General features: G+C 34.9%; 1 protein-coding gene across 12 annotated transcripts in view; it reads right to left on the reverse strand.

Annotated features, from left to right (window-relative positions):
* Window positions 1-18,096, reverse strand: part of PABPC4L (poly(A) binding protein cytoplasmic 4 like) — a 253,443-nt gene extending 235,347 nt beyond the window's left edge. For 6 of the 12 annotated variants that reach the window (XR_001741139.2, XR_001741135.2, XR_001741134.2 and 3 more), the window contains exon 1: window positions 16,246-17,774. Coding sequence is in view for 3 of the 12 variants with exons in the window: in XM_047449600.1 (XP_047305556.1) it covers window positions 16,246-17,388 (1,143 nt within the window). In the remaining 9 variants the exon portion in view is untranslated. Of the gene's footprint in view, window positions 1-12,527 lie in introns of those variants that run through there. The other 6 variants (XR_001741133.2, XR_007096356.1, XR_007096357.1 and 3 more) reach the window with 5 other exon arrangements.
* Between the last annotated feature and the right edge of the window lie 1,146 nt (window positions 18,097-19,242).

The raw sequence follows: 19,242 nt of genomic DNA on the forward strand, positions 1-19,242 counted from the left end.
AAATTGATATTTATTTTCATTGATTAGAAGGCTATATTTTAAGGATTTTAATTCTCCTTAAATGTATCAAAAAAAGCCATGATTGCAATAAAATCCCTAAAAGATTGTGTGTGTGCGTGTGTGTGTGTGTGTGTAGAACTTAACAAGTTGATTGAGTGCGATTGTAGAACTTAACAAGTTGATTTCATCATATCTATGGATATTCATAGGGCCAAGAATAATCAAGACAATCTTAAGTAAGAAGAAAAAGATGGAAGATTCCCACTCTCTGAAATGAAGACATCTTATCAAGTAATAAAGAGTGTATGACACTGGCAGAGGATAGACTGGTTAACCAGACTAATGGAACAGAAACCAGAGACTGACCCAAACATAGAACAAATAGGGGGATCTGATTTATGGCACTATATCATTTTGGGATACTGCAGGAAAAGGCTAAACTTTTCAATAAACAGTACTGAATCTGCTGAATGTCTAAATAGAAAAAGTAAGACACACCACTCTGACATTTCATCATAACAAAAAAAATTCCAAGTGGATTGTATATCTAAATGTAAAATATGATTTTAGAGATCACAGAAAGACAAGCAACAGACTGGGCTTCCTCCCCACCACCACTGGCAACCACTGATTTTATTATCTCCACACTTTTACCTTTTCCAGAATGTCATATAGTTGGAATTATACTGTACATAGCCATTTCAGATTGGCTTCTTTCACTTCATAATATTCATTTAAGATTCCTCCATATCTTTTCATGGCTTGACAGCTCATTTTGTTTTAGTGCTGAATATTTCACTGTGTGCATGTATCACCACAGTACCACAGTGTATTTCTCCATTCACCTACTGAAGGGCACCTTGGTGTGGACATAACTTTTCACTCCTTTGTGTAGATACCAAGGATTGTGATTTCTGAATAATATGGTAGAAATATGTTTAGTTATGGAATAAACTACAAAACTCTCTTACAAAATGGCTGTACCATTTTGCATCCTCACAAGTAAGGAATGAGAGTTCCTATTGTTATACATCCCTTTTGGAATTTGATGTTCTCAGTGTTTTGGATTTTGGCTATTCTAATAAGTTTGTAATGATACTGCACTGTTATTTTTATTTGTGAGTCTCTACTTACAGCTGTTCATATGCTTATTCACCATCTGTATATCTCCTTTCTTGAGATGTCTTCTGCCTATTTTTTAAATCAGGTAATTCACTTGCTTATTGTTGAGTTTTAATAGTTCTTTCTATATTCTGGATAATAATCCTTTATCAGGTGTCTTTCTCATTGTGTAACTTGTCTTCTCATTCTCTTGACAATATATTTTGTCAAGCAGAATTTTTCAATATATTCCAGCTTATCTATTACTTTGCACGAATTGTGTCTTTGGTGTGGTATCTAAATAGTCATGTCACTCTCCACAACAAAAAAAAGAGAATTTTAGACCAATATCCCTGATGAACATCAATGCAAAAATCCTCAATAAAATACTGGCAAACCGGATCCAGCAGCACATCAAAAAGCTTATCTACCACAATCAACTTGGCTTCATCCCTGGCATGCAAGGCTGGTTCAACATAGGGAAATCAATAAACGTAATCCATCATATAAACAGAACCAAAGACAAAAACCACATGATTATCTCAATAGATGCAGAAAAGGCCTTCGACAAAATTCAACAGCCTTCATGCTAAAAACTCTCAATAAACTAGGTATTGATAGGACATATCTCAAAATAATAAGAGCTATTTATGATAAACCCACAGCCAATATCATACTGAAGGGGCAAAAACTGGAAGCATTCCCTTTGAAAACAGGCACAAGACAGAGATGCCCTCTCTCACCACTCCTATTCAACATAGTGTTGGAAGTTCTGGCCAGGGCAATCAGGCAAGATAAATAAATAAAGGGTTTCAGTTAGGAAAAGAGGAAGTCAAATTGTCCCTGTTTGCAGATGACATGATTGTATCTTTAGAAAACCCCATCGTCTCAACCCAAAATCTCCTTAAGCTGATAAGCAACTTCAGCAAAGTCTCAGAATACAAAACCAATGTGCAAAAATCACAAGCATTCCTATACACCAATAACAAACAAACAGAGGGCCAAATCATGAGTGAACTCCCATTCACAATTGCTACAAAGACAATAAAATACCTACGAATCCAACTTACAAGGGAGGTGAAGGACCTCTTCAAGGAGAAATACAAACCACTGCTCAAAGAAATAAAAGAGGACACAAACAAATGGAAGAACATTCCATGCTCATGGATAAAAAGAATCAATATTGTGAAAATGGCCATACTGTCCAAGGTAATTTACAGATTCAATGCCATCCCCATCAAGCTACCAATGACTTTCTTCACAGAAATGGAAAAAGCTACTTTAAAGTTCATATGGAACCAAAAAAGAGCCCATATTTCCAAGACAATCCTAAGCCAAAAGAACAAAGCTGGAGGCATCATGCTGCTACCTGACTTCAAACTATACTACAAGGCTACAGTAACCAAAACAGCATGGTACTGGTACCAAAACAGAGATATAGACCAATGGAACAGAATAGAGTCCCTGGAAATAATACCACACACATCCACAACCATCTGATCTTTGACAAACCTGACAAAAACAAGAAATGGGGAAAAGATTCCCTATTTAATAAATGGTGCTGGGAAAACTGGCTAGCCATATGTAGAAAGCTGAAACTGGATCCCTTCCTTACATCTTATACAAAAATTAATTCAAAATGGATTAAAGACTTAAATGTTAGACCTAAAACCATAAAAACCCTAGAAGAAAACCTATGAAATACCATTCAGGACATAGGCATGGGCAAGGACTTCATGACTAAAACACCAAAAGCAATGGCAACGAAAGCCAAAATTGACAAATGGGATCTAATTAAACTAAAGAGCTTCTGCACAGCAAAAGAAACTACCATCAGCGTGAACAGGCAACCTACAGAATGGGAAAAAATTTTTGCAATCTACCCATCTGACAGAGGGCTAATATCCAGAATCTACAAAGAACTTAAACAAATTTACATGAAAAAATCAAACAACCCCATCAAAAAGTGGGCAAAGGATATGAACAGAAACTCCTCAAAAGAAGACATTTATGCAGCCAACAGACTCATGAAAAAATGTTTATCATCACTGGCCATCAGAGAAATGCAAATCAAAACCACAATGAGATACCATCTCACACCAGTTAGAATGGCAATCATTAAACAGTCAGGAAACAACAGGTGCTGGAGAGGATGTGGAGAAATAGGAATGCTTTTACACTGTCGGTGGGACTGTAAACTACTTCAACCATTGCGGAAGACAGTGTGGCAATTCCTCAAGGATCTAGAACTAGAAATACCATTTGACCCAGCCATCCCATTACGGGACATATAACCAAAGGATTATAAATCCTGCTGCTATAAAAACGTAGACACACGTATGGTTATTGTGGCACTATTCACAATAGCAAAGACTTGGAACCAACCTAAATGTCCATCAATGATAGACTGGATTAAGAAAATTTGGCACATATACACCATGGAATACTATTCAGCCATAAAAAAGGATGAGTTCATGTCCTTTGTAGGGACATGGATGAAGCTGGAAACCATCATTCTAAGCAAAGTATCGCAAGGACAGAAAGCCAAACACCACATGTTCTCACTCATAGGTGGGAACTGAGCAATGAGAACACTTGGACACAGGGTGGGGAACATCAGACACCAGGGCCTGTCGTGGGGTGGGGGGAGGGAGGAGGGATAGCATTAGGAGATATACCTAATGTAAATGACACTCTGTTTTCAGGCACATACACAGTAAGAATCAATATGTATTTTTGGAGAATTGACTCCTTTATTATTATGTAATGCCCTTCTTTTTTCCCTGATAAATTACTTTGAAGTCTGCTTTGTCTGATGTTAATGTAGATACTCCCTCTTTCTTTTTATTAGTGCTAGCAGATTTCTTCTCTTTACTTGCTTCATTCCTTTACTTTTAATTTACTGTGACTTTATATTCGAAGTGAGTTTCTTGTATACAAGATATATTGTTTTTTGATATAATCTGATTTCTGTCATTTAATTGGTGTCTGTAGACTACTGATGATTAAAGTAATTTTTATTTAGTTGCATTAATATAGATGATGTTTTTATTTTTTATTTAGTGCTTATGATTTCCCTCCTTTTTTATGTCTTCCAGACTTTTTCTAACTTTTATAATTTTAACCAAGCATTTTACATAGTTCTATTTTCTCTCTTTCTTAGCATATCCATTATACTTCTTTAATTTTTCATGTGTGTGTGTGCAGGGGTGTTTGTGTGTGTGTGTGGTTGCTCTAGAGATTACTATATACTTTCCAACTAATCCATGTCCACTAATTAAAAAAACAACAACAACACTACCACTTCTGGTGTAATACAAGGGCAAGTGTATGCCCATGAAGTGGGTAATATCCATAATGCCCAGTTCATGATCATACATAATCAGATGCATTGTTTTTATAATTACTTTGGATGAACTTTTATTTGGTAGATCAATTAAAGGGAAGATAAATCATATTTTTATTTTACCTTCAATTATTTCTTCACCATGCTCTCCCATTCTTTATGTAGATGTTAATTATTGACTTATAACATTTCCCTTCTCTCTGCAGAACTTCTAACATCTCTTGCAAGGAAGGTGTACTGGCAACAAATTCTCTCAATTTTTTTTGGTTTGAGGAAGTTTTCATTTCTCCTTCACTTTTGAAGAATAATCTTGCAGAATACAAATTCTAGGATGGAGAAGTTGTTGTTTGTTGGTTTTGTTTTGTTTTCTCTCAACACTTTAAATCTTCACTCTACTTCTTGCTTGCTTGGTTACTAAGAACTCAGTTACTCATCTATAGATAAGGTGTCTTTTTCTTCTGACTTTTTTCAAAACTTTATATTTGTCTTTATTTTTCTGCAGTTTGAATATGATACTTCCAGGCATAGTTTTGTATTGCTTTTAATTATCCTGCTCAGTGCTCTCGGAGCTTCCAGAATCTGTTGTCTGATGTTAATTTTGAAAAATTCTTGTCATTATTGTTTCAGGTATTTCTTTTGTTTCATTCTCTCTTTCTTCTTCATTTAATATTTTCATTATTCGTATGTTACACCTTCTGTAGTCCCATAGTTCTTGGATAATTTTATTTTGGTTTTTTCTTCACCGTGTTTTTCATTTTGTAAGTTTTGTTAACAGATTCTCAAGCTTAGGGATTTTCTCCTCAGCCTTATCCAATCTACTAATAATGAGGCCATCAAAGGCATTCTTCATTTCTGTTACAGTGTTTTCGATCTCTTGAATTTCTTTTTGATGATTTCTTAGAATTCTCATTTCTCTGCATACATTGTCCATCTATTCTTGCATATTGTCTACTTTTTCCATTAGAGCCCTTAACATATTCACTAAAGTTTTTTAAATTCATGATTTGATAATACCAACATTGTTGTCATAGTTGAGTCTGGTTGTGATGCTTGCTGTATCTCTTCAAATTGCATTTTGCCATTTAGTATATTTCACAGCTTTGTTGACAAGCAGGTATATATCTTTTTTGTTGACAGGCAGATGTGTGTACACACACATACACACATATACATGGTATATATGGTATATATGTATACATACATATATACATGGTATACATACATGTACATACATATATACATGGTATAAATGGTGTATATGTGTGTATATATATACAGTTTCTTTTACCATGTGTATATACATTCACATATATAATGTGTGTGTGTGTGTATTCTTTTTACACACACATGGTAAAAAGAACTGTGGTACCTAGGCCTTTAGTAATGTAAGTGGTAAGATGTGGGTGGAAGGGAAGCATCCTGTAGTCTTATGATTAGATTTCTGTCTTTTAGTGAGTCTGTGCTCTTGCACTATGAACTTCATAAATGCTTTCATTTTTCTTTTTGTTGGTTTTGTTTTCATTTTTCAAACCCTTCCTTCGTATGGAATAACTAGAGTTGACTGGAATTGTGTATTTACTTTCCCCTGATTTGGTCAAGGTCTAACAAAACCCCCTAGGTTAGGCTCTGGGAAAATAGTTTCTCTTGAGGGTAGGCCTTATTAAGTATAACAAAATACTGTCTTCCCCTTACCTGGTAAGAACCATAAAATAATTTTACTCTGTTTTTCACTGTGAGAAACTGGGACTGCTCCTGGGAAAGCTCCGGAAAGTAAAACTCACAAAAGTGTGGGAACCCCCAAGGACTTTGTCTGCCTGCAGTTTTGATCTCTCAGGCTTATCTGCATTAAGCCATCAGCAATACAGTTACAGTTTATATTTTCCTACTTGAGTACTGGTTACCATACAGGTTTCTGCTTGTGAGCCTCTGTTCTGCTAAACTGTGATTCTCTTTATCTGTCTATCTGCCTCTCTAATTTTGGATATAGTGGTTTGTCCTGACACATACTTCTCTGACATATCTAAGAGTTGTTGATTTTTCAGTCTGTTAAATTTTTTAGTTGTTGTTAGAATAATGTGGTAACTCTGAAGCAACTTACAGATTGAATTAGAATCTCTCATGTTTTTAACAGACTTGTATAGGTACCCTTCAGTTCTTGTGTGGTTTGGGGCTTTCTTTTTTCTAATTCTTTAATTTTTATTCTTAATTTTCTTCTACTTTATTCTAATTCCTGTCCTTTCCCCAATTTCTGGAGATGAACACTTAGCTCATTTCTTCAACATTTTCTTTTCTAATATATACATTTTAAGACTACAAATAAATCATAAAGCATGACTATAATACTTCTCATAAGTTTGGATAGTTTATATAATCATTGTACAATACTCAATTCATATATATATACATATGAATATCTGGAGACAGAGTCTCGCTCTGTCACCCAGGCTGGAGAGGTGTGGTGAAATCTCGGCTCACTGCAACCTTTGCCTTCCAGGTTCAAGCCATTATCTTGCCTCAGCCTCCCCAGTAGCTGCAGTTACAGGTGCACCTCACCACGCCTAGCTGATTTTTATATTTTTAGTAGAGATGGGGCTTCTCCACATTGGCCAGGCTGGTCTCTAACTCCTGACCTCAGGTAATCTGCCCACCTCGGCCTCCCAATGTGCTGGGATTACAGGCGTGAGGCTCTGCACTCAGCCTCAATTCAAAATATTTTAAATGTCCACTGTGCTTTCAGTGTATCTCTTGATTTCTGAATCTGTAAGGATTTTCTAGTTATATATTCTTCTTGATCCCTAGTTGAATTGCATAATTGTCAGTAGAAATATTCAGTATGATATTCATCTCTTGAAATGTATTGTGGCTATGTTTATGGCTTATTATTGGGTATATAGTTGAAAATACTCCACTTATACATAAAACTAACGTGTTCTGCAGTTGTTTTCTCTTGATTCTATATATACCAATTGGATCCATTTGTCCTACTCTATATCTTAACTGATATTTTGCTTGCTTATTCTATGTGTTTCAACCAGACGGAAAATTAAAAAGGAAATACATGACTGGAACAACAGTATATACCAACTACACCTAACACATATCTATAGAGTACTCCAGCCAATAACAGCAGAATGCACAGTTCTTCTCAAGTACACATGAAGCATTCCTCAGAATATGCCACATGTTAGCTATAAAGTAAGTCTCAATAAATTTAAAAAAGGATTGAAATAATACAAAGTATGCTCACCAACCACAATGGAATGATATTATAAATTAATATCAGGAAATAATTTGGGAAATATACAAATATATAGAAGTTAAAAACAAACTCCTAAATCACCAATGAGTCAAAGAAGAAATCAAAAGGGAAATTAGAAAATACTTTGGTTTCAATGAAAACAAAACACATACCAAAGCAGTTTAAGATCAATGAAAACAAAAACACAACACACCAACATATTGGTTGACCCTAAAGCCGTGCTGAAGGGCATGTATAGCTGTGAATATTTATATTAAAAAAGAGGAAAATTTTCAAATCAATATCCTAACTTCTCATCTTAAGAAAATACACATAAAAAAGGACACTAACCCAAAGCAAGCAAAAATAAATAAATAAATAAATAAAAAGGGAATGGTAAAGATTACATCAGAAACAAACAAAATTAAGAATAGAAAAACAATAGAAAAAGTGAATGAAGCCAAAACTTGGTTTTTTGAGAAGATGAATAAAATTGATAATGACAATGAGAAACTGTCTTTGTCTATTAATATAACCGAGAGAACTGAACACATTTATTCATATAAAATCCTGTACTTGAATGTTCATAGCAGTAGTATTCATTACAGCCAGAGTAGAAACATTCCAAATGTCCATCAAGTGATATATGAATAAACAAAATGTGGTGTATTCACACAAATGAATATTATACAGTCATAAAGAGAAATTAAGTGCTGATACATGCTCCAACATGGATGAAACTTTAAAACATTAAGTGAAAGAAGGCAGAAACAGAAGATCATATATTATATAATACTACTTATACTATATATATGTACATATGAAAGGTCCAGAATATACAAATCCCTAGAGACACAGACTATATTATTGTTGCCAGAGGCTGTGGAGAGATGAGACTGGGAAGCGACTGCTCCTTGGCCTGAAGTTTTGTTGTGAGGTGATGGAAATGTCCCAAAATTAAATAGCGGTGATTTTGCACAATCTTGTGAGTACATTAAAAACCAGTAAATTTATACTTGAAAATAAATTTATACTATCTGAATTATATCTCAATCAAAAAGAAAGACATCTATGATAATTTTTATAGTGGCATTACTTGTTATTGTTCTAACACAAAAGCAACCCAAATGTTTATTCATGGTGAAAGAATAAATAATTTGTCATACAGTCACACAACAGAAGAATATGATGATGACAATAAGTACACTACTACTAAACTCAGTAGTATGAAATGAATCTCACTAAAATACGCTGAGTAAAAGTATGTGACACAAGAGGATTCATGCTGTATGAATCAATTTGAATAAAGTTTAAGGTAATCAAGATTAATCTTTAGAATCTGAAGTCAAGATAGAGTTTATATTTGAATAAGTGAGATAGACAAGTGCTTGGGAGAGAGTTGGAGGGGTACAGGTAATGTTCTATTTCTTGACTTGAGTGGTAGTTACAAAAAATACATACTTTAATCATTCATTAAGTTATATGCTTAAAATTTCTGCAATTTTCTATTGTGGATATTACCTCTTTAACATAAGTTCTAAATAATAAAAAATTACCTAAATGAATGTCCCTCATCAATATGTTGATTTGCCCAACTTTGTTTTTGCCTATAGTGTTCTAGTTTTGTGCTGCCGTAGTGTATGCACTTTGTAAGCCAATACCCGATAAAAGATTCAGTAAGAAGCAGTGATTTTCTACTGAATATTCCTCCCTATCCCCTACTTCATCTTTTTAAAGAGTTGAAACTTACTTTACTTTTTTTTTTATTATGCAACAGAGCTTCTTTCAAATGGTCCTTCTAGAATAAGATCAGATATCCCACAAATAAATATACCCATCCTATATCCTAAAATACAAAAAAGCAGAAATGTGAAGAATGAGCTATTACTTAAAATAATATATTTTTTAAAAATATAAATATTTGAAGGTGATCCTCCCCAGCTTTTCCAAGAGACTTACTCTTTTTCTCCCTGTAACACCATATGTGATCTAATTTTGAAAAAAGGTATCAGTTTTTGTAGGTTAACATCCTATAGGGAGACTTTCCTGTCTCTTGAAAGAAAGAAAAGTATTTCCATTTTGAAAAGAAGATCATTTACATATTTCAATTTGGCTCCCAAATTCTATACTGTGTATATGAGCCCAAGTCCATGTTGGGCATCAATATTTAATCTAGTCTGGTTTGGATGGCTTCTGATATTAGCAAGTCCAGAAGCATAAGAATATCTAGATCTTGCCCAAACACCTTGTCTCTCCACAAGGGTCCCTAGAGAGAGGTATAAAAGAAACATTAGAACATTAGACTGATAGAAAAAAAGGAGTTAGTTATATCCATATAAATATTCAATAAAATAAATTTTAGAGAATTAAAAAACATGGATAAAAACTGTGGCGTAGATCTTGAAACTTAAGAATGTTCTTCTATCACTTCCTGAACTTAATTTGGAATTTCATGCTTTTATAGTCACCTGTATAGTGAAAGATACCTGAAAGAGACAGAACTTTTCAGGCGATATATTGGCTTAGTAGTCCAGTCACATGTATTAAGAAAGAGAAAAGAGTAGGTAATTATGTGTAATAAGTTTGTCAACTGATAAATAAGGATTAATTAATGAGCCAGCTACTAATAAAAAAAGAAGAGTTATGTTGCCTGCCTTGGGGGTGGAGGAGTTTTATTTTGCTCCTCTAATAAGTGCTATGCTAGTAAAGTAGAGAGGGAAATGGGAGTACTGAGAGTTCAAAAGACTGTGCTTGAAAATAGATAAGCAAGAATCAGTCAGATTAAAATTAAGGGAGAGTATTCTAGGCACTGAGAATAGTTTATCTATAATAGCTCATGTATTGCAGATGCCGGGGTGGGAAGTTTCATTCTACAGCAATTCACACTTTTTCTGGCACTTGTATCTTGATTTTTCCTTGAAAAACAACCTCTACCTTTCTCGGTCAAGGATATTTTTGCTTAACGTTTGAATATGTTACCTAACCCCAGCTAATCAGCAAATCTCATTACCTTGGTTACAATGATTGGTTAAGAAAAAGAACATCACATAAACAGAACCAATAAAACTTACACTGAGAATTCTGAAACAAAAACCTATTCCTGGCTACCTATACCTATAATATCTTTTTTCTAGGAGGTAATTAAATGCTTTCACCATATATTTTTTCATAAACCAGTTGGAAGATTTGTTCCACCTGTACAGTACACAGCCTTCTATCTGTTAAAAGGTTAAAGCTTTTAGTGAGGCAGGAACTATCCTGACAGTTTTAAAAGAGTTGAAACAAGACCAATTAATTTCCAGTATATTGACAAAGGGAAATAGTAGCACAAGAAAAGTTTTAAAGAATACACAAGGACCAGAATGCAAGGAATCCTAGGACACGGTAAATATTTATACCTGATTTTAAGAGTAATGGAAGGCCATGAAAGGTTTTTAAGGAGAAGAATGATATGATCAAATAGGCATTTACCAATATCTTTTTAATTAAAATCAAAATAAATATTAAAACTTGGATTACCATATAACTGATGGCCTTTTGCCAATTGCAATCTATACAATATAAATGTCATTTGTATACAAACTATATATAAAATGTTAGTGACTAGAGTGGTGAATAATACTAGGCTTCTAATGCTTCCTATGGTAATTCAGTAAAATAATAATGTGTCAAAACAATCTAGTTATAATTCTAAGATTTGCCTTGCATTCAAATTGAGGCATGTCTTTGATTAACAAAGATTTGCTGGAACTACTATTATAAAGGTTTACTTTAACTTCAAGGAATTAATATTGGCTGCCACTAGCACATGTACAAAGTTGAAATTAAATGTAAATCAAAATTGTGATGCCCTACAATACCATTAGACATGGCTTCCTGAAATAAGAAAATTCCACTGGAGATACTGATTGTAAAAACAAAAAATGAATTATGACTGATATTCACTGAATGCAAAAAAAACAATAATTATATCTGCCACTTCAGTGATATTGCCTTCGCAACTCAAATGTGCTATTAGTGTTTGGCAAAACTTTAAAATAAGGATTTTTAAAATATCTAAGGTGATGTAAATATAAATGGGTTAACAAAATCTGATGGAATATCATTGTACAAATTATGAATCTCTCTCAGAAGTTAAGGTGTTTTCTCTACTACAGTTAAGAATGCCACTAAGAAGATAAATTTCCTTCTCATTTGGATTCAATTGTTTCATTCAGGGCAACTACAATTTAGTTCAGAGCATTCTGTGAACTCCAAAATATGACAAGACCATGAGACAAAACCAACACTTAATTATACATATTTCCTCTGGGCAAACCTGCAAAATAATCTGACTTTAACAAATTCAGATCCAAATGTATGTGTAACTCAGATTTGAGTACACATGCACTTGGGAGATACATATATGTCAAAAGTATCGTGAGGGTATTTAATTTGTTCTACTTTTGAAAGTGTAGATTTTTTAAAATTATATTTTTACTCTATTGTTTTATTATATATATTTTTAAAATTATATTATGGGGCATATTTCCAAATGTACTATGAGTAAGTCAATTCTAAGCACTTGACAGGTTAGTTGAATTTAACAATAAATTCAGAAATGTCTTTAAAATAGTTAATTATTCCTCATTAAAACTTGTTAGTGTTTTGTTTTCAACTGTGAGTTCATAATTATGAGTAACTTAAAAAAGAAATACTAGTTCATAAAGAAATTGTCCTTGAAAACCTGAAATACAAGTATTTCACTAAAAACACAAGTAATTTTCAGTTCATTCTTAAGATAACTGGTCTTTGGAAAATCAGAAATACTTTATAATAAATAAAAATCATTTTCAAACATGCTTTCACCTTTGAAATATTAGATTTTATTTGACATTTTCTCAGTGGATCTATAACAATATTGAGAACATGAAAATGACAATATTAAATCACTTTAAAATTTTTATTTTTACCAACTATAAATTCCTATTTGAAATTTAAAAGATAAAATGTTAAAAGAATACATTTATTGAAATGGCTGTACATGTAAGCAGGTAACTACACAGCAGACGTGGCAATATGTGTGGAGAGAAGGGTGAAAGTAGAAACAGTGGCTCAAGGCATATCTATGTACATTAGCTTTTACTGGAATGCTTATCAGAAAAGTTAAGATTCTACTTATTTATTAAGGCACTTGGGCACAAAAGATTTAATATTCTTTAATGAATGAATCTCTATTTTCAACTAAGATAACTTGCTATTATCACGCACCAAAAAAAATTAGAATGAACAAAATTTAAATAAATTAAATCCATAGGATTGTATATTTTTGTAAACTGACTGTCTTTTTTTTTTTTACAGCAAATGCTGGAAATAAGCAATTTCTACTAAGAAGGCAGATTATTGTGTAATTAAGCCATAGCTATAATTCATCTAGACATCTGATGTTATGTCCTATTAACTACTTACATACATGAAAGAACTCTGTTTCCTGATATTATCTTGAAAGATTATGTAAGCATTATCAAATATTGTTCAAATATTTGAACAGTTTTACAGATTAGCTTTCCTAAATTAAGATGTAGACTAGATTATCCAGAACAAGATGTCAAGGCCAGGCACACTTAATACACTTTCCAGTCTTGTTGTCTGGTAAACCTTTTTAACAACTTTCTGCTTCTGATACATGTTTTGGTAAATACTTACCTAGTATAAGAATCTATGTGAAACTCATATGCCAACTCTAATTCATTGGCTCTCTGAATCAAGTATTTACCAAAATACATGTTATTAAAAATGGAAAAGCACATTTTTAAAATATTTACTATAGGTTTTATATAAGATACTTTTTATGAACCAAAATTTTAGTTAGAAGCATTGAGAATATGAAAATCTGAAAGTCATAAACACAATACAGATAAATTGTGTGGGTGTATATATATTTGTGTGAATATATGTATTTAAAGTGTTCAAAATATTTTGAAGCATGACATCAAAGCCATTTCAGTAGAATACTAAAACTTTCCAGCTTAACATTCAATTTTGGAATAACCTTCAAAACTATAAAGACAGTGAAATATCAGGGGGAAAAGTCTAAAATGTAGTCATAATATGCAAAGAAATCTAAAAATCCATGTAAATAAAAAACACCCCAACAGGAAAATAAATTATGATCATGAGACATTAACTTATAAGTATGAAAATACAAATGGTCAGTGAGTACACAAATACTGTTTAACTTTTGTAATTTACAAAAGTGAAATAAAGCAATGATGAAATGGTTTGTTTTACATATCATGTTGAATTGACCAACAGCTTAAAAAAAACCCTTGTTTCTTGGAGCATATGGAAATAGGCATTCTCCTACAATGACAATGGAAATGTAAGTGCCACAAGTATTCTGGACAGCATTTAAGCAATATTTATCAAAATTACTTTTTAAAATTGATTCTTTTTTAACCATTAATTCTACTTCTAAACATTTTCTTAAGAAAATAGATATATTTGCATATATAAGTTCGCAAGGATGTTAATCTCCAAGTTATTTATGACAGAGGAAGAAGAAAAAAGGAAGAAATTATCTAGCAACAAGAAGTTTATCAATAAGAAATTAGTTATATTTTGGTACAGTCATTGAACAAAACATAAAAGTCACTCAGATTATAAGACAAATAATTATTGTGAGCATAAAAGTTGACCATAGCATATTGTTTAAGAAAGCAATTTCAAACAACATTTGTAATATTATCCTATTTTTCTTAAATTACCTAGGTGTATATATGTAGAGAGAGAAAAAAATAGAAAAATATGTAACAAATTATAATAGGGAATTGGTTTGCATAATACAATTATATGCAAATTCTTTTAATTTTTTCATTGTCCATAATTTTTTATGGACTAAAAGATTTTCATTTTAGAAAATGTGCAAAGAATATACATATAATTTCTATAAAAATAAAAGGCAACAAATTTTTCTCATTCATAAGCTGAGGTATTGCCAAAAAATATTTTACTATTTCTTTTATATTAGTAATATATGAAATAGAGAATGTGAATAATAGTTATGAGAAAAAACTAAGCCAAGTAAAAATATGAAAACAGTAAAAACAAAAGCACTTGCTTGCTAGATACCTTTGGTATGAATCAGAATTTGTAAAGCAATTATTTAAATGTAATTAAATAACTCTTGCCTCGATTTCCAAATGGATTTGAAGCAGCACATATTAAAAGCCAACATAAAAAAATCCTTTAGAAAGTATTTTAAAAAGCTGAGGAATATAGATGAAAGGCAGGAGAGCAAGGAAAATAGGGGAATGGTTCTAAACTAAAAATTATGCTAGAAAACAGAATAAGTGATGTAACTTCAATTCATCAGAAAATCAATCAGTGTTTCTGATCAATGAAGGCTAAAAGTGAACCTTAATGGGTTCCATAGCTGCCACATTCTAATAAAAGGAGATGTGAGTACATAAAAATAGAGGAACTTACTTTTCTGAACCCTAAGAGAAAATCACTACACAAAACAATATAAAAGAGATTTTAAAAGTTTTTAAACAGAATTTCTATAATCTGTATGTATGATTTTCATAATATTAGCATCTGGTAAAAATTTAAGATAATATATTAAGCCATATAGGTATGAAGAGATTTAAGACCAGGCCAACTTTGGATCACCTGAGTTGATAACAGATTTATAACTTAAGGAATGTAGAAGTTAAGGTTTTACAGTGCAAGTTACAATTTAGATTAACTAGTAAGTACCTGAATTATAGTCAACTAATGGAAAGAACAAAACACATAAAGCCAGTTTTTAGGCAACATTAAAAACTTCCATCATCTTAATTTAAACCATCCGAAAAACAAGCATGTCAGGATATAAATTTAAAAGAAATTCAACTATATCTGACTATTTTAAGCATTAATTCAAAATGAAATTAGGTCTTTAAATTCGTACTATAAATTTCTAAAAGTTTGATTTCTCAAAACTTGGATGAAAAATTAGAAAATTTCTGTTGGTAAAAATACTTTGGAATCTTTAGTTGTAAGAACTATTTTGAGCATATTTTCATAGAAGAAATTAAAGCTAGCAATATTACTAAAATAATAAATATGCAATAAATTCAAATAATTACCTCATTTCATTTGGTTCAAATGTAAAAATATATCTATTTATACTTATTGCTATGAACATATCAAAATAAGAAAAATGTGCAATATTAAAATTAGAAAATGTGCCTCTGTAAAATGAACTAAGCTCCATCTATTTTTCCACAAAAGAAAAAAAATGGCTTTGTATAAAAAACGTTTTATCATAAAGTTTACTAAACTAAGCACCCATCATGTGGAATATGAAATTTACTGAGGTCAATTCAGGCAGAGATCACTATCATTCTCCCACCTGCTGCAGATACTAGCTGGAAAGGTACGTTTTTCTTTCCTAGTGTCTCTGGGCCAAGGCAATGCTAAGAGGTTTGGAGCCCAAGATGCGGCCATTCATCTCAGTCATTGCTTTAGTAGCATCCTCAGGAGAGGAGAAGCAGATCAAGCCAAACCCTTTGCTCTGCCCCTCTTCCTGCATTACCTTAACTCTGCTAATTGATCCAAATGAAGAAAATTCGTTTCGTAGTTTTTCATCATCGATGGTGTCATCAAGGTTCTTAATATAGAGTTTTACCCCCTGGCACCCACGAATTCGTTCCCTTTTCAGCTGCTCAAACATTTGCTTTAACTCAGCCTGTCGCTCGACTTTCTTTTGAGCCCGGCCTACAAAAATCAGCTGCCCATTTATGTCCCTTCCATTCATTTCTTCAACAGCTTTCTTGGCAGCCTCATGGCTATCAAAACTCACAAAGCCAAAGCCTTTGGATTTCCCACTGGAATCTGTCATCACCTTAACACTCAGAGTTTTGCCATATTTGCTGAAAACGTCCTTCAATCTCTCATCATCCATGTCACCTCCAAAGTTTTTTATGTAAACATTGGTGAATTCACTGGCTTTGCTTCTGAGTTCAGCTTCACGATCTTTTCGGTTTTTGAATCTGCCAACAAACACCTTGCAGCCCTTGAGTAGTTTTCCATTCATCTCCTCAATGGCCCTGTCTGCAGCACTCTGGTTCTGAAAGTGCACAAATGCATAGCCCTTGGAGCCTTGATCATCACTCATCACCTTGGAGGAAAGGATCTTTCCAAAAGCTGAAAAATGTTCATAAAGGGTTTTGTTATCGATAGATTTGTCCAGATTCTTGATGAATACGTTCCCAATTCCAGATCTCCTCAAGTAGGCATCGCGCTGAGACCACATGAGACGGATGGATTTGCCTTTTATGATGTCAAAGTTCATTGTGTCCAGCGCCTTCTGGGCATCAGCCAGCTGCAAGAAGTTCACGTAGGCATAGCCCAGAGAGCGGCGGGTGACCTGGTCCCTGCAAATGCGGATGGACAGCACAGGCCCCACAGTGCTGAACTTCCTGAACAGCAGGTCCTCGGTGACATCTGCATGTAAGTCACCCACATACAGGGAGGCCATGCGGTACTTGGCTGCTACATTCATCTCCTTGTCCTTGCCACTGTGAGTTTGTCCCCTGGAGTTCTTTGAGCAATCCCTGTGGGGGGATACTAGGTCACAGCTTTGGCCCGGTTCAAGTGTGGAGGCCTCGGGATCACCACACAAAGGCCAAGCAATGGAGTTCAGACACGACTCCCCCAGCTCAGGCAACACCCTCATCCAAAAGTCCCCACAGCCACCAATCTGGCCCTCCTAGGACGCGGCAACAGAACTGTGAAATCGCAAAGAGAGATTATTAGGACAAGACGTTCCTTCCCCTCAGATTTGTGAGAAAACTTCAAGTGGCGGGCTGGCCCTCCATCTGAGCATTCTCCACAGACGCCCTGGTCGCTGGTTTCTGAATAAAAATAGGCCTCGCTCAGAGTGGTTTAAAGTTACAGCCGCTCAGGGAAGAACTCCACAAGCGGAGGCGTCAGAGGCCCCAGCCGTGGAGTATGGGCTGCGAGGTTCTGCCCGGCAGAGACCCGAACCTGCCAGGTACCGGGTTCTGCAGGCGCCGCCGCCGCCGAGGCGCTGCCGGCAGCGACGCGGGCCAAGGGCGTCCTGAAGACCTAGGGGGCCCCTCCGACCTCCCGACCCGCGCGGCGCCCGGAGAAAGGAGGCGTGGGGGAAGGGGAGGCTGACAGACCGACGGACTGACGGACGCGGCGAAGCGGGCGGCCAGGCGGGGGCTGGGGGCTCACCGGCGGTCGTCTGCGGGCGGGCGGGAAGCCCGGAACTCGCGCGCTGAACTTCCCGCGCACTCGCTGCCAAGTGGGATGTTTTCTTTTTAATATTTTTTTTAAGAACGTTTTTCTTCCCCCCGCCCCTATTACACGTTTCCCACCCTCCTCAGATGGCTAAGCTGAGAAGCAGGAGGCGGTGACTGGGGTGGAGAAAGGCAGCCGAGGGGAGTGGCCCCAATAAACCCACCCGCCCGCAGGGCTTTGCATGGGTCTGAGTGAAGGAGCCTTTCCAAATGTGGATCAGGGCCTGTCACTTCCTGGCTTCAAACCCTCCAGTGGCTTCCTTTGACTTTTGGATAAGGTCCAACATCCGCACCTTGTTCTATAAAGTTCTGCAGGATTCCTGAAATGTTCCAGCCTCAACTGCTGCTTAGTTCCCCTTACAAAACTCCAAGACACACTAGCGTTTTTCAGAGCCAACTTTATAAAAATGTGTTCTTCGGAAATGAGTTAAAATGCTCTTTCCAAATAGATGTTTTTTCTAAACCCCTCTGACAATTTAGGTTTCCCTCTTAGAAACTCTAACACTACCCTGTACTTGCCGGCTTTTGTCTAATTACAAAATATTGCATATTTCGTAACAATAGAAGCCATGTGCACTTTATTCTCAGGGACTTGCAGACAAGGGATGTGCAGTATTTATTGAACAAATCTTAGCCTCAGGTTAGTTTTCACATCTAGTTAAATGGAGGCGGTGGCACTTATCTTAGAGAGTATTTTACGTGTGAAATGAGTTAATAGATTTGGAAATGGATAACACAATATCAGATACATAAGTGGTTTCCAGTAACAATGATTTCATTTTCTTTAGCATTAAATAAAATTCTTTAGTATCTAATGAATCCTTAAAATTTGAATCATAATGCATCTTAGAGAGTCAATAAGTTACTGTCACGGTAGCATGACCTTGATTCTCCAAGAGTGCCAGAACCTATGAAATTAACCTGTGGTCTCAGTTGTACTTGTTTACAGAAACAAAAGCCGGGCTGGATGCCAGTAGCCACAAACAAGCCACGAGATAAAAACTCAGCTTGGCAGTGCTACTCAGACAGACCTGAATCCTCACTTCCTTATCATATTAAAATCTCTGCCCAGTGGGGAGAGATGCCCTTTGCTAGGCACATATAGTAAGTGCCCAGTGCAAAAGAAAGAACAAGACTGCACACATTCTAGTTTTCTCTGGAAAGTCCCACCTCTTTCCAGGAATTCGCATCCTTAGTCTCCACCTTCATGCTCTAAGAGACCTTAAAAATCCCCCTTCTGCACACACCTGGGGAAAAGGTGAATG

This window comes from Homo sapiens, chromosome 4 (genome assembly GCF_000001405.40).
Source record: "Homo sapiens chromosome 4, GRCh38.p14 Primary Assembly".
Lineage (NCBI taxonomy): Eukaryota > Metazoa > Chordata > Mammalia > Primates > Hominidae > Homo > Homo sapiens.